Below are 16,586 nucleotides of genomic sequence, written 5' to 3'. Positions count from 1 at the left end.
GCACGACCTCGGCTCACTGCAACCTCCACCTCCTGGGTTCAAGCAATTCTCCTGCCTCAGCCTCCCAAGAAGCTGGGATTATAGGCGCCTGCCACCACACCCAGCTAATTTTTGTATTTTTAGTAGAGACGGTATTTCACCATGTTGGTCAGGCTGGTCTCAAACTCCTGACCTCAGGTGATCCACCCACTTCGGCCTCCCCAAAGTGCTAGGATTACAGGTGTGAGCCACTGTGCCCAGCCAAGCCAATCCATCTTTAAAATATATATATTTTTTGAGACAGAGTCTTGCTCTGTTGCCCAGCCTGGAGTGCAATGGTGCGATCTCGGCTCACTGCAACATCTGCCTACCAGGTTCAAGCGATTCTCCCACCTCAGCCTCCCACGTAGCTGCGATTATAGGCGTGCGCCACCACGCCTGGCCTCTTTAAAATATTCTTAAAGATAGCCTTTTACAACTTCCCACGGATAGGCAGTGGAGGTCAGATTGTAGGACAATCTACTGCTACTACCTCTCTAAAAAGCTCCTGCTACTCTGAGGGCCATCTTCAGAATGGAGTGCCCAAACTAAATAATTATTTTTCTGGCTTCATTTTCTCTAAGAAATTTATTTAAGAACCTCAAATTTAACAAGCTTGAAAGTTTCCCTCTTTTTTATGGTAGCTATTATGAAATGCTCAGCTCCATCTGTGAAGGCAAATGCAACAGAAATACTTTTCTCAAAAGACAAATAGTTATGAAAAGGTTTGCTGCTGTCTAAAGATGCCCCTTTAAGCACTTCTGCTATAACAAACACATTGAGATCCTCATTTTACCTCTCACTTTTAAGTTTTAGCCCCTGACTTCATTAAAATCAATGTGAAAAATACTCTGTACTCACTCTGGCATTCTATGAATTGATGAATAAAAGTGCAGTCCCCGCCACTCTTTGAAAGCAAGTGCTCTAATAAAGAAAGAAACACCTTTAAGGATATAGTTTGTTGCTGTCTTTGAAAACCAACAGCAAAGGTAGGAAAACTGAAAAGTATTAACATGGGTACTAAGTAAGACTAATAAAGGCTTAATATATTTTGATACTAAAGCAGACATATTTTGGAGTTAAATGACTGAAAATTATTATTAATTTGTACACTGAATGGTTAGCTTTTAAAGGTGTAGTTTTTATCCAAAGAGCTCAAGAAAATCACATAAATATATTGCTTTAAAATGGTTCTTCCACCTTTTGTCCACTAGAACTCAACAAATACCCTTAAATAATTTAAGTTTGTCATTATTAAATTAAATTAATTTTCAAGTGATTGTTCTATCATACTCCCTCTTCAAAGCTATTCATCTTAGTTAAGAGGCAAAAGGTAAATACTTTAAGAATATCATAAAGTAATACCATAAGATTTTTAAGAAATTGATGTAATAAGTTTTACATATTCATTTCATAATCTTCCCTTTTGAGTCACTTAATCTGTACCTCATACAGTATTAAAACATTAAATTGTTTATCTCTGCCCAAATGACCAAAATCAGTGCCTATTCATTTCAAAGTAAGAGCTTGGTAAATGGTTTTGCTCAAGTCAAACAGAATTTATTTTTCATTTAAAGAAATGAATGGAGACAATAAAAATGTAACATAGTGGTTAAATAAAAGTTTCAGTTCTTTTCTTACAATAATCTTTATTGTGATTTAAAGAGTTACTTCTGAATCTGGATAATGTCCTTTAACGTGTATTTATATCTTTCAAAATGACCAAATCTATTTTGGAAGTTGAAGTGTTAAAAACATATTCTGACATAATGACTACTTGGAAAGTGTGAAAGCATTAGAATCTGTCAAAGGGGACACATGAGTTGGCACCATTCTCTCTATAAAAACCTCCTTCCCCTCTCGTCCACCTCAGGCCACGTTACTCCTCAGTCGTCTCAACTTTGCATGAGAGGCAGACACTACCTACTTAGATCATGCCTTACCTCTCTTTACATCCTTCCTGTTGGCTACCTTCTTTAATTCTATACTAAAATTTATCATTATGCTTTAATAAGTTACATGGTGTGCAGAGCCTCTCATCTATCATCACCATCAGTATAAGACAAAAACATGGAGGAAAAAGGTTGATAAAACTTGTGTTTTGGAGAGACCAATGCACTACATACCTAGAATACTATATAGTGATACAATATAGCCTCAAAAAGAAAAAAATACTAACAGCAACAGAAATTTGAAATTTAAAAAAAATCTAATAAATAAGAATTTGACAACTGGATCCAGGAAAAGCAAAACGGGAGCCCTCAGTATAATAGTAATTGCCAGGATAAAAAGTTGTTTTTCATAAATCCCATTTTAGCTATGGTAACACTTTAAAAACTCAAACTACATCATCATGTTATATATATATAAACTCATTTGGAATGATATTTTAACTTAACTAAAGGACTTTACAAAACATATTTGAAACATATTTCAGACTAATATCAAAGAACTTAAGATGACATTTATTAAAGAGGGACATCCTACCATTACTTACAAAGCTAACAATCACACTTTTATCTGAACTCTACATTAAAATATTTACTAAACTGGTTTAGATAAAATCTGATATTAATATAAAAAGATAGAGAACCACTCTACTTAAAATACATTTTATTTATATAAATGAGTTTCCTATGGATTTTTATTTATATACCTGTGTTATCTAATACTATAGCCATTAGCTACTGTAGTTACTAAACCCTTCAAATGTGGCTAGCTCTAATTGAGATGTCCTAAGCATAAAACAAATGTACAATGATTTCAATGAATTAGTAAGAAAACAGTGATATGAAATTTTATGAATAATTTATTAATCATTTTAATATTTATTAATATTGAAATATTTTGGATGCTGTAGGCAAAATAGATCATTAGAATTTGTTTTGTTTATATATATTATATATATATATATATATATATATATATAATAGAGATGGGATCTTGCTATGTTGTCTAGGATCAAGTGCAGTAGTTATTCACAGGTGTGATTGTAGTGCACTACAACCTCAAACTCCTGGCCTCAAGGGATCCTCCTACCTTAGCCTCCCAAGTAACTGGGACAACAGGCATGTACCACTGCACCCAGCTTTTTATATTTTTAATGTGTGTGGTGGTTAATACTGAGTGTCAACTTGAATGGATTAAAGGATACAAAGTATTAATCCTGGGTGTGTCTGTGAGGTTGTTGCCAAAGGAGATTAACATTTGAGTCAGTAGGCTGGGAAAGGCAGACCTACCCTTAATCTGGGTGGGCACAACCTAATCAGCTGCCAGTGCAGCTAGAATATAAGCAGTCAGAAAAATGTGAAAAGAGAGACTGGCCTAGCCTCCCAGCCTACATCTTTCTCCTGTGCTGGATGCTTCCTGTCCTCGAACATCAGACTCCAAGTTCTTCAGTTTTGGAACTCAGACTGGCTCTCCTTGCTCCTCAGCTTGCAGATGGCCTATGTGGGACCTTGTGATTGTGTGAGTTAATACTTAATAAACTCCCCTTTATATATATAATATATATAATATATATTATATATATAATACACATATAATATATATTATATATAATACACATATATAATATATATTATATATAATACACACATATATTATATATAATACACACATATAACATATATTATATTATATATAATACACACATATATAATATATATAATATATATTATATATAATACACACATATATAATATATATTTTTATATATAATACACATATATATATTTTATATATATATATATATATATATATATTCCATTAGTTCTGTCCCTCTAGAGAACCCTGACTAATACAATGTGGCTGCCAGAATTTTTTTAAATTAAGAGACAGGGTCTTACTCTGTTGTCCAGGCTGGAGTACAGTGGCACAATCATAGTTCATTGCAACCTTGAATTTCTGGGCTCAAGGGATCCTCCCTCCTCAGCCTCCCAACTACCTAGGACCACAGGTGTGTACTACCACACTTGGCTAATTTTTAAATTTTGTGTAGAGACAGAAGTCTCACTATGTTGCCCAGGCTGGTCTCAAACTAATGGCCTCAAGCAGTCTTCCCTGCTTAGCCTCCCAAAGTGCTGGGATTACAGGCACATGCCACCACACCTCACTAATTTAAAAAAAAAATTTTTTTTTTCTTTTTAGAGATGGGGTCTCACTATGTTGCCCAGGCTGGTTTCGAGCTTCTGGGCTCAAACAATCCTCCCTTGCTGGGATTACAGGAGCAAGCTACTTTGCCCAGCAGAAAATTTAAAATTATGTATGTGGCTCTCATTATGTTTATTTTTTATTTTTTTGAGATGGGGTCTCACTCTGTCACCCAGGCTGAGTACAGTGGTGTGATCATGACTCACTGCAGCCTTGACCTCCTGGGATCAAGTGATTCTCCCATCTAGCCTCCTGAGGAGCTGGGTCTACAGGTGCACACCACTATGCCCAGCTAATTTTTAATTTTTTTATAGAGATGGGTTCTCACTATGTTGCTCGGGCTGGTCTTGAACTCCTGGACACAAGCAATCCTTCCACCTTGGCCTCCCAAAGTGCTGGGATTATAGGTGTGAGCCACCACACCCAGCCTTATGTTTATTTCGGACAACACTGTCCTTTACTCTCTAAGATACATTCAGCTTATGCTTATTAGATAAGACACACAAAAAATTTACAGTACAAAACCTGTGCTTTTAGTAGCTACATTATATTTAATTTTTAAAATGGGATTCACTGAAAGTATTAGTATTATTAATTTTAACATCTTCAGATATTTAAAAATATTCTCTTACAACTATATTTGGCTCTCTACTATTTAAAGAATAATTTAGTTAAAATTATATAATATGGGTATGGACATTGGTAATACTGGGATACTTGAAAATTGGTTCATTATTATAAGTGATTTGGAATGGAATTAAGTGACGCATCTTATTCCAAAGTCCACCCTTAACTAAGTTTTCGTGTACATCTAGAAATTTATTGCTTAGTTTCTTTTAAAATATTCTATTAGTCACTATCATACCGTAACTCAATATATCACCACCAAAAAAGCAAGCACACAAATAAGGAAAAAATAATTATGGCAAGGAGTTACCTTTAAGTATCTAAAATATTTATTCTTAAAATCAAGGAGTCTTTAACAATTATATTAATACAATATGAAAACAGTCTACTATTATTTTCATCTGAACCAACTGGAACTGGAAAAAAATGAATCAGTAATTTTACAACTCTAAATAGTATAAAGATGGTTCCATGTACATAAAACGATTCTCTTAACTGAAGGAATGAATAGCAGGTTCCCAGCTTGGGTTAATACTAACATTATTAATATAAAATCAAGAGGGTGATGACTGATTGACTGTTTTGTTTTGTTTTGTTTTTTGAGACAAGAGTCTCACTCTGTTGCCCAGGTTGGGGTGCAGTGGCACGATCTGGGCTCATTGCAACCTCTGCCTCCCAGGTTCAAGTGATCCTCCTGCCTCAGCCTCCTAGAGTAGCTGGGATTACAGTAGCGTGCCACCACGCCCAGCTAATTTTTGTATTTTTTGTAGAGACAGGGTTTCACAAAGTTGTCCAGACCTTGGTGGTCTTCAACTACTGACCTCAAGTGATCCACCCGCCTTGGCCTCCCAAAGTGCTGGGATTACAGGTGTGAGCCACTGCCCCGGACATGATTTTTTTTTTTTTGAGACAGGGTCTCACTCCCATCGCCTGCAGTGGCATGATCTCAGTTCACTGCAGCCTCGACCTCCTGGGCTCAAGTGATCCTCCCACCTCAGCCTCCTGAGTAGCTGGGATTACAGGTGTGTGGCCACCATGCGTGGCTAATTTTTGTATTTTTTGTAGAGATAAAGTTTCACCATGATGCTCAGGCTGGTCTGAAACTCCTGAGCTCAAGCGATCTGCTTGATCGCAATGAATATAAACTACACCTTTAAAAATTCTCAAATTTAAATTCCATCAAATTGGAATTTTAAAAAGTCAATGCATTTTACAAAACATACGTAGAATAGTCAAACAGCAATGATTAATGAACATTTTTCTTGAGAGTTTCAAAATTCATTACATATGCAAATAAGGTTTTGACCTTGCAGCTAACATACACACAATTACCTGAGCCTATACTGCCAGCTCTTGATTAAAACCTGACCAAACAAAACCAAACCAAAAAAGAACCAAAAAACCCACCTCCTAACTCTACCAGTTTGATTGCTGCCCAAGAACTATTATGATATCCCTTGATACATGGAAAAAATATTTTGTCTTTTCTTTTCTTTTCTTTTCTTTTTTAAAGACAGGGCCTTGCTCGTCACCCAGGCTGGAGTGCAGTGGCACAATTATGGCTCACTGCTGCCTCAACCTCCTGGGCTCAGCTGACCCTCCCACCTCAGCCTCCCACGTAGTTGGGACTACAGGCGCACACCACAATGCCTGGCTAAGGGAAAAAATATTTAATAAGTTCTGGGTATCAACTCTGATATCTTCGACTAACTTCTGTAGAAAACTGAGATGAAAGGCACATAGATTGGTAAACACAGAAAAGAGTTTAATTTCTACTGTACTCCAAGCACCTAGCGCAGGGTCTGGCACATAGTTGGTGCTCAATTAATGTTAGATGGAAGGGGAGAGAAGGAGAATGACTAGGGATCTTCAAGACTGAAGGATAATAGAGGTCACTGGGTAAAAAGTACCCCGTGTAGTGACAGGAAAACCAATAGTGGCTATATGTTTTTGGCAAGAGAGAACCCACGCTGTCCAGAAAGAAGGGTCACAGAACCAACAACTAATAAAAGATTTTTCTGATGGCAGAAAAAACTGACCCTGTTCTCTCTGATCAATGAAACAGATGGATAAACAAAGTAGTTTCTATGATATGTCCAAGGGCTCAATAAGCTGTTAAATAAACTCGAATGTTTTAAATGGGGGTCAAGTATCACTGGAGGCAGAACTTGATGAAACAAAATGGTAGTACAGCTCTTCGAAAAACAGAGTGGGGAAAAAGATCTATATTATATATTGCTAAAGGTGAACTTAATAATTTTCTGATTTGAGTAATTGAAATTTCCATATAACAAGGGATATCTAAGAATTGATCACAGCATCAACTCTTACAAAATAAAGGAAAGCTTGATTTTTAAATGATGGGGTTCAATGATCTGTGAGAGCATGCTTTTCATTCCAAACACTTAAAACCCTGAACTCCTTATCCTGCTTAAATACTAAAATGATATCATAAAAAGTATATATATATTTAAGTTTTTTACACTACCTTTTTCTGTGCTCCCATTTATTTTAGGTAAGAAGTCATCAACTTGTATCCCTAGGATTAAGACAGTATATCATTGCCTGATCAAAGAAGTATTACTTTAAATGTGGTCTCAAGTGTAACCATGGCATTCTGCATTCCTAAGATTAAGATTGTATAGAACACTTTAAAAGGGATCCTGCTGTTCATGTACTTTTCTTATTTAAATATCCCGAGGTAGAAGATCTCAGAGCAGAAATTTCACTCATCTCAAGGAAAACAATGGTGCCCACTGGTGGCAATCAAGCATATTTTTAAAGAAAATTTTCTAAAAGAATATAGATACTTTATACCTAATACATAAAACATCCCTTAAAAAATGCAGTGTGAGACAGTAAACAAGGTCAAAAGTTTAAGGATAAAATTCAGGTTTAAGTAAGAAATATGGATGCCACCTACCCAAGCTGCTGCATTCTTTAAGAGTTTTCTCCTGAAGATGTTCTAACCGTACTGTAAATAAAAGTCCAAAAAAAAAAAAGATATTTCACAGATAACAAGAAAAAAAATAAAATAAAATCAATTTCTGGATTAGCTACTTACCTTGTAAAGCTGTTAGCCTTTCATTGGTGAAATCATTATCAGCTTGCAAAGCTTCTATTTTTGCCTGGAGCTCCTGTTCTTTTTCTTCCATTTCATCTATTTTATGTTGTAATTCTTTTTTCTCAGCCTGTCCCTTCTGTTGGATTTCCTCTTGTTTTCCCTCTGCTACCTAGAAAAATAAGAAAATTCAGTTATTTAACAAACCTAACTCTGTTTTAAGAGCGAGCCCCAGGAATGCCTTTATTCACTTAAACTTCTAAGAAAAGTTTGTTCTGTAGAAAAGAAATGTTCTACAGAACATTATCTGTAAACCTGACATTTCTTTCTTTCTTTTTTTTTTTGAGATGGAGTTTCACTCTTGTTGCCTAGGCAACCTCCGCCTCCCGGGTTCGAGTGATTCTCCTGCCTCAGCCTCCCAAGTAGCTGGGATTACAGGCATGCGCCACCATACCCAGCTAATTTTGTATTTTTAGAAGAGACGGGGTTTCTCCATGTTGGTCAGGCTGGTCTCGAACGCCTGACCTCAGATGATCAGCCCACCTTGGCCTCCCAAAGTGCTGGGATTACAGGCATGAGCCACTGCGCCCGGCTAACCTGACATTTCTAAACCAGTAAAGATGATAAAGACAAAGGCTTGATGTCAAAAATTATCTGCATTGGGTTATTCCTCCATAACACCCAGGAGAGAGAAACTTGGAGGAAGCAAGTAGGCTCAGTACACACAGAGGTAAAGGGTCAATGTGGAAAAAAAAATCGTATTTTTAAAGAGGGAAGTAAGATTTTTCCCTAAAATTACTATCATTTCAATTTTGAAGTTCTATCATGTTAACATTCTGAAATTTTAAACAAAATTATTTAGTAACGAGATGACAGTACAATCACTATTCAAAAAGACCTCTCTGCCTATAGTTTGGATGTTCGTCCCCCAAGCCTCAATGTTGAAATTTGATCCTCAGTGTTGGAGATGGGGTCTAATGAGAGGTGTTTGGGTTATGGGAGCAGATCCCTCATGAATGGCTTGGTGCTGTCCTCATGGTAATGAGTGAATTCTCACTCTATTAGTCCTATGAAAGCTGGTTTTTAAAAAGAGCCTGGCACCTCTCCCAGACCCTCTCTCACCATGGAACACGTACCAGCTCCACTTTGCTTTCTGCCATCAGTGGAAGCAGCCTGAAGCTTCAGCCTGCAGAACTGTGAGCCAAATAAACCTCTTATCTTTATAAATTACCCAGGCTCAGCTATTCCTTTATAGCAACAAAAATGGACAATGACAATCTCCTTTTAACAAGACCAACTTTGAAAACTATCATAGGTTAACCAACGGAGGTATGCTCTGGTCTTCTCTAACAAACACATATCTTCTAGGCACTCAATCCATAGTTTGAATTAAACCAAGATGGACCTTCACAAACAGTTATAAGATTTTTTTTTTCCTCAGTTATAAGATTCTAAAGGACCAACTAGACATTACCCTATCATTACCCTATGATCTGATCTGTCCTTATCCTAGATGTCTCATAGATAGAGGGAATGGCAGCTAAAGCAGAGTTAACAGCATCCCTGAAAGCTAAAAGGGAGATCATTCCCAGATTCTCTCTGGGCTTGTTCCAGCACAGCACTAAATAGCTGGGCCCTGCCTTTTAGATGGCCTAATGATAAGCAGTTTTAGGTTTTAAAACATCTGAATATCATGGGTTTTGCTGATTCTCATCTACTTCCTGTTATATATTTTAGAAATGTCTATTGTGAAGCACTGACTACATATTCATCCAGAGGAACTATGTCAGCATTTACAGGCTTTCAATTATCTATAGTAATGGAGGTTGGGCTAAATGGAATACAGACACCTTATTTTCACTATAAATTTCAACTGTTACCAAATTTTTACATCAATAACTATTCAGCAATACCTAAAATCTTTTTTTATAGAAATCTTATTTAATATGTAGTACCACCTACATCCTGCTTTCATACTTTCAGCATAATTTAACACATTCAAGGAGACTATGCAAATCAATTCAAAATATCTATCTATACCAGTGGTTTTCAAACTGAATTTTTTTTTTTTTTTTTTTTTTGTGAGACGAAGTCTTGCTCTGTCGCCAGGCTGGAGTGCAGTGGTGCAATCTTGGCTCACTGCAACCTCTGCCTCCTGGGTTCAAGTGATTCTTCTGCCTTAGACTCCCAAGGAGCTGGGACTACAGGCATGTGTCACCACGCCCAGCTAATTTTTGTATTTTTAGTAGAGACGGGGTTTCACCATGTTGGCCAGGATGGTCTCAATCTCTTGACCTCATGATCTGCCCGCCTCGGCCTCCCAAAGTGCTGGGATTACAGGCGTGAGCCACTGCGCCTGGCCCAAACTGTTTTTTGTTTGTTTGTTTGTTTGTTTTTCCTTTGAGATGGAGTATCGCTCTGTCGCCCAGGCTGGAGTGCAGTGACGTGATCTCAGCTCGCTGCAACCTCCGTCTCCTGGGTTCAAGCAATTCTCCTACCTCAGCCTCCTGAGAAGCTGGGATTACAGGCGCCCGCCACCCCACGCCCAGCTAAAGCAATACCTAAAATCTTAAGCTATCTAGTGTGTTAGGGATTATTAGCTTAACATACTTTCAGGCAGAGTAAATACATACCTTTAATTTATCAGATAAATCTTTAATCTCATTAACTGCTCCATTATATTTGTTGGCTAATTCTCTTAATTCTTCCTGAGTCCTTTCATTCATTTCTTTCAGATGGGTACATTCATCTTCAGTATTACTCAGACTTCGCTGCGATTCAAGTTTACAGGCAATTTAATTAGAATAAGTGTATATTTGTTATTTAGAATTCCTTCTAAATGAAATTTATAAAAAGTATAATTCTATGGACTATTCTAAATCAACATCTGCCCTGGACTTTAAATAAAGCTGAGTCAAATAACATAAGAATTTCAATTCACACTAAAACAGAAAACATAACTAAGAATTAACAAAAACAACAAAAAAATAAAAGTGGAGGGAGAGCAGGGGCAGGAAAAGGATGCTGCCTTTATATAATTACATTTTTGAAAGGCCAATGGGTATGACTTTTAGCTGTGAAAATATTTTAAGCCTATCAATCCTTGAAAGCAAGTTTAATAATATCCAGCAATCAATTTAATAAAAAATTAAAAGACACTTAGTAACTTTCTTTATATATCAAATTAATCACACAACAGTGAATCAGGCACTATGGGATGAGGTAGCAATACAAACTATACCTGTAGTAAGGAAAGGTATGTTTACCATTTAGTTTCTGATGAGCATTTTAACTAATTCTAGTAATACATTATTTATGTGGTAATTTTGCAGTGGTTCAAAGAAAAGATCTATATTATGAATTAGAATTTTTTTCCCCAAAGCAATAAAAATTGCATTTTGATTGCTCCTCCAAGACCTAGAAAGGACCTTGGAGATGATTTCACCTTTGAACTTCCTAAATATATGACACAGCTAGTTTTCCTCTCTGCAGAGTGAATTAAAAAAGAACAAGTAGTGTAGACTCTTGGCCTTACACTGACCCCCCTCAAATAGAAGCAAAGCAAAACCAAGTGACAGGAAATCAATTCCCCAGCACATATCATGGTCTGCTGTATGGAGGGTGAATCCTAAGCAGAATGCAAACAATAAGATTCCCTGGTTACGCTTTTATTTCCTCAGCCATTGACTAGGGAGTAAGTACCAAAACTCACATGGAGAATTGCTGTCAATGAAAGCAGCGTAACTGTTCCTTCCCACCTGACAGACAGAAAGTATTTCCTAACTATATAATAATACCCAAGTTTAAAGTATCCTGGAATGCTTGAGATTTTTTTGAACACTCATAATACTATTTAGTATTTTTTTTTTGATTGAAATACCTCAACTTCTGAAAGTTTTCTAACCACTTCAATTTTCTCCTGAAGAACCCGCCTCAGGGACTCTTTGGCTGTTGTCTCATAGTTATGTTTATCCTCTTGTAATGCTATAAGTTCCTTTCGTAAACTATCTTCTGTTTGATTCTACAATAAAAGATATTTATAATTATAGACAAGTTATTTTTTAAAAGCATTTATTGTTTGAAAAAAATTAACACATTATGATATACTTTAAATTATATATTAAGGTACCTCCAAACATAAATGATTCTGGCCCTGTATTAACTAAAGATGTATTTACAAGTTGCATAAGTAAATTATGCCTTCACAAACTTACTAATTTCCACTTCCTATAGAAAAAAAAAGTTATAGGCAATTGAGAATTTCCCTAAAATATACAAAATTAGTTACTTTTATATTTGTCATATTTTCTGCAAGCCACCATATTCACATTTGTAGGCAAAAATAATCAATTACCTTCAAAGGCACCAAGCATTCTGAAACAATGGTTAAAACAAAAGGAATAAGAGTACCATGGGGGAAAAGCAGACTTCATGTCTGGGGCAGGAAAAGTACAAAATGAGCCTGAAACATCTTGTCTGAAATGACAGCATGAAGCTATCACTCTGAAGACATTTACACAGACCAAAGATGGGATAATTTGAGCATCAATAAGAAAAATAGGCTGGCCGTGGCACTTTGGGAGGCCGAGATGGGAGGATTGCGTGAGCCCAGGAGTTCAAGACCAGCCTGGGCAACATAGCAAGACCCTGTCTCTAAAACAAGAAAAACAACTGCACCAGATTTAAATACATCAAATATGTTTAAATCTAAGTGGAGTGAGAAAACACTTCATGGCCAGTCTTTGGTAGATGAAAAACCACCAATTCATTATTCTGAAATCTAATAAATAAGGGGAGAAAATCACTTATCTTGCTTTCCCCGTAGAAAACATACCTCAGGGTTATTTAAATTTTTTTATTCCAATACCTTTAGAGATACAAGTGGTTTTTGGTTACATGGATGAATTATGTAGTGGTGATGTCTGGGGTTTTAGTGCACTCATTACCTGAGTAGTGTATATTGTATTCAATAGGGAGTTTTTCATCCCTCACTCCCCTCTCACTTTCCCAACTTCTGAGTCTCCAATGTCCATTATAGCACTCTTTATGCCTTTACATACCTATAGCTTAGCTTCCACTTATAAATGAGAACATGTGGTATTTGGTTTTTGATGCCAAAGTTACAAAAAACAATGGCCATTGTTTTTCCTTTTTTCGTTTTTTTAGAGACAGGGTCTCTCTTTGTCACCAAGGCTGGAGCGCAGTTCTGCGATCATAACTCACTGTAATCACAAACTCCTGGGCTCAAGCGATCCTTCCACCTAAGCCTCCCGAGTAGCTAGGACTACAGGTTATGTACCACTATGCTAAGCAAATCTTTAATTTTTGGTAGATACTGGGTTTTGCCATGTTGCCCATACTGGTCTCAAACTGCCCCCGCTTTTTTTTTTTTTTTTTTTGAGACAGTCTCGCTCTGTCGCCCAGGCTGGAGTTCAGAGGTGCGATCTTGGCTCACTGCAACCTCCACCCCCACCGGGTTTAAGCAATTCTGTCTCAGCCTCTTGAGTAGCTTGGATTACAGGTACATGCCACCATGTCCAGCTAATTTTTGTACTTTTAGTAGAGACGGGGTTTCGCCATGTTGGCCACGCTGGTTTTGAACTCCTGACCTCAAGCAATCCGCCTGCCTTGGCCTCCCAAAGTGCTAGGATTACAGGCATGAGCCACTGTGTATGGAAGGAAACTTCTCTTTATAGAAGTAACCCAGCTAAATAAGTGAAGGAATAACAGAATTACATCATTATTTTTGTAACTTTTTTGTTGTTGTTGTTGTTGTTGAGACAGAGTTTCACTCTTGTTGCCCAGGCTACATTGCAATGGCACGATCTTGGCTCACTGCAACCTCTGCCTCCTGGGTTCAAGGGATTCTCCTGTCTCAGCCTTCTGAGTAGCTGGGATTACAGGCATGTGCCACCATGCCCGGCTAATTTTGTATTTTTAGTAGTGATGGGATTTCTCCATGTCGGTTGGACTGGTCTTGAACTCTCGAGCTCAGGTGATTCGCCCGCCTCATCCTCCCAAAGTGCTGGGATTATAGGTGTGAGCCACTGCGCCCAGCCTTATTTGTAACCGTAATGAAATAATGGATCTAGCCTGGGATCATCAATGATTGATAAAAATCTCAAAAAGAAAGACAACTAGACATTATGTTGTCCCTTGGTGGAAGAACACAATACCATCCATAAAGTGTTGTTGACAAAAAGAAAAACTGAACCTAAATCACATCAAATCTCTAGATGGAACTACTACTTTATGGAGTGGGAGGGGGAGCTAAAAAATGTTTAAATAACAATGCAGACTGAGGGAAATTCTAGAGGACAAATGACCCAGTTTTTTCAAGAAATATTAACTGCAATAGAAAAAAGACAGACTTGTACATGGGTATTCATTATGTAATTATTTTTATTTACATGGATGTCTGACGTTTCTCAGCACAAAAGATTTAAAAGAATTGTGGAAATGTATGAAGTTTTTAGCATATACTCAAAATGATAGTCAAAGAAATGATGTTACATAAAAAACTATGCATTTCATTTTACACATTTGAGGTTAATACCTACTTTGGAGCATGCCTGTAATTGGTTTCCCATAACTTCTAACCGTGATAAGAGTCTATCTTCATCTATTAAAGCCTATTGAAGAAAAATTAAATGTAAGTAAAACCCGAGTAATTATAAAGTCACATGTATATAAAAAAAGGTTGCTACTGACAACAAAAGATATAAAAGCGTAAAACTGACCAGCATCCACTGTAAAATGCTAAATCTTCAACAACTTGTTCATTAGTTAGGAAATAACTTTGTCTTTGTTTGCTACATTTTAGTTTATTTAACATGTATGGAATATTAAACTATGTTTAAATGTTTCTTAAATATAAAACAACTGGAATACCTGCCAACTGGTATCTGAAGCCTCTTGGGTGATGGCTAGTAGCCGCTGAAGCGTGGCTAACTTCTGTTCCAACATTTGTTCCCGATGTAAGGCCTCCTAGTATTACAAATCACAAAACAGATTCTAATAAGCTCATCATGATTCTTTTGAGGAGTGATCAATTTTCAGCATATTCTAAAATATTTTCATATTACATCCCACTTGATGTATTTTAAAGTAGTGAAACTTGATAGTACTTTGTAAAACATACAGCAGTCCCCGCTTATCTCTGGTTTCCCTTTCCACAGTTTCAGTTATAGTGCAGTACAAGATATTTTGAGAGAGACAGACAGAATGTTGACATTCACATAACTTTTATTCACATAACAGTATACTGTTGTAATTGTTCTATTTTATTATTATTGTTAATTTCTTACTATGCTTAATTTATAAGTCAAACTTTATCATAGGTATGTGTATATATAGGAAAAAACATAGTAGATATAGGGTTTGGTACTATCTGTGATTTCAGGCATCTACTGGGGGTCATGGAACATATTCCCTGCAGATAGGAAATGGCTACTCCATGTATATGGGCCACATCATTTTAGTCTCATTTGTTGGGCTGAAAGTACTGCTATTAGAGGTTCTCTAACTGCAACTTCTCCCATAATAGAAAACAAGTCACCTGTTTTTTGTTTTCTTTTTATTCATAATTTGGAAGAGCAAGTTTTTAAAAACATACAATAGAAAAAGCTAACAAATGTTTCAGGTTTGCATTTTATACACACACACACATACATACACACTGTGTGTATGTAGACATATATCTATGCATACACACATACACAGTCATGCACCACAAAACAACATTTCAGTCAACTATAGACTGCATATACACAGTAGTCCCCAAAAATTACAATGAAGCTGAAAAATTTCTATCGCTTAATGACATCATAGCCATCCTAACATTGTAACACAAGGGGGCATTACTCACGTGTTTGAGGAGATGTTGGTGTAAACAAACCTACTGTGCTGCCAGTTATATAAAAGTATAGCACATATAATTATATATAGTACATAATACATAATAGTATTATATGACTTTATCAGTTTATGCATGTACTATACTTTTTATTGTTAATTATAGAGTGCATTCCTTCTGCTTATTAAAAAGAAAAAAACATTAACTGTAAAATACCTTCAGAGAGGTCCTTTAGGAGGTATCCAGAAGAAGGCACTGTTATCACAGGAGATGACAGCTCCATGCATGTTACTGCCCCTGAAGACCTTTCAGTGGGATATGATGTGGAGGTGGAAAATAGTGATAATGATGATCTTGATACTGTGTAGGCCTAGGCTAATGTGTGTGCTTATGTCTTCATTTTTAACAAAAAAGTTTAAAAAGTAAAAGCAAGTTTAAAAAATTTTTAATAATAAAAAGCTTATAAATTAAGAATAGAAACAATATTTTTGAACAGTTGTACTACGTGTTTGTGTTTTAAGCTAAGTGTGAATACAAGAGTCAAAAAGGTTTTAAAACTTGTAAGTTTATAAAGTAAAAAAGTTACAGCAAGCTAAGGTTAGCTTATTATTGAAGAAAGAAGAACTTTTTTTTCTTTTTTTGAGACAAGAGTCTAGGTCTGTCACCCAGGCTGGAGTGCTGTTGCATGATGATGTCACTAAGTGATGGCTCACTGTAATCTCAAACTCCTGAGCTTATGATCCTCCTGCCTCAGCCCTCCAAATAGCTAGGAGGCAGACACACACCACCATGCCCAGTTAATTTTTTTTTTTTTCTTTTTCTGAGACGAAGTCTCTCTCTGTTGCCCAGGCTGGAGTGCAATGGCGCGATCTT

General features: G+C 36.5%; 1 protein-coding gene across 48 annotated transcripts in view; it reads right to left on the bottom strand.

Annotated features, from left to right (window-relative positions):
- Positions 1-16,586, bottom strand: part of SLMAP (sarcolemma associated protein) — a 173,705-nt gene that overhangs the window by 57,436 nt on the left and 99,683 nt on the right. For 11 of the 48 annotated variants that reach the window (XM_005265456.5, XM_005265468.5, XM_017007155.3 and 8 more), the window contains exons 7-14: positions 14,750-14,845; positions 14,419-14,490; positions 11,739-11,879; positions 10,492-10,629; positions 7,862-8,030; positions 7,721-7,771; positions 7,286-7,336; positions 880-942 (exon numbers count right to left, since the gene is read on the bottom strand). In XM_005265456.5, the coding sequence (XP_005265513.1) occupies positions 880-942; positions 7,286-7,336; positions 7,721-7,771; positions 7,862-8,030; positions 10,492-10,629; positions 11,739-11,879; positions 14,419-14,490; positions 14,750-14,845 (781 nt within the window). The remainder of the gene's footprint in view (positions 1-879; positions 943-7,285; positions 7,337-7,720; positions 7,772-7,861; positions 8,031-10,491; positions 10,630-11,738; positions 11,880-14,418; positions 14,491-14,749; positions 14,846-16,586) is intronic. The other 37 variants (XM_005265470.5, XM_011534105.3, XM_047448893.1 and 34 more) reach the window with 7 other exon arrangements.

The sequence above is a fragment of the Homo sapiens genome, chromosome 3 (genome assembly GCF_000001405.40).
Source record: "Homo sapiens chromosome 3, GRCh38.p14 Primary Assembly".
In the NCBI taxonomy this organism is placed as follows: Eukaryota; Metazoa; Chordata; class Mammalia; order Primates; family Hominidae; genus Homo; species Homo sapiens.
This window is presented reverse-complemented; position numbering and strand designations above follow the sequence as displayed.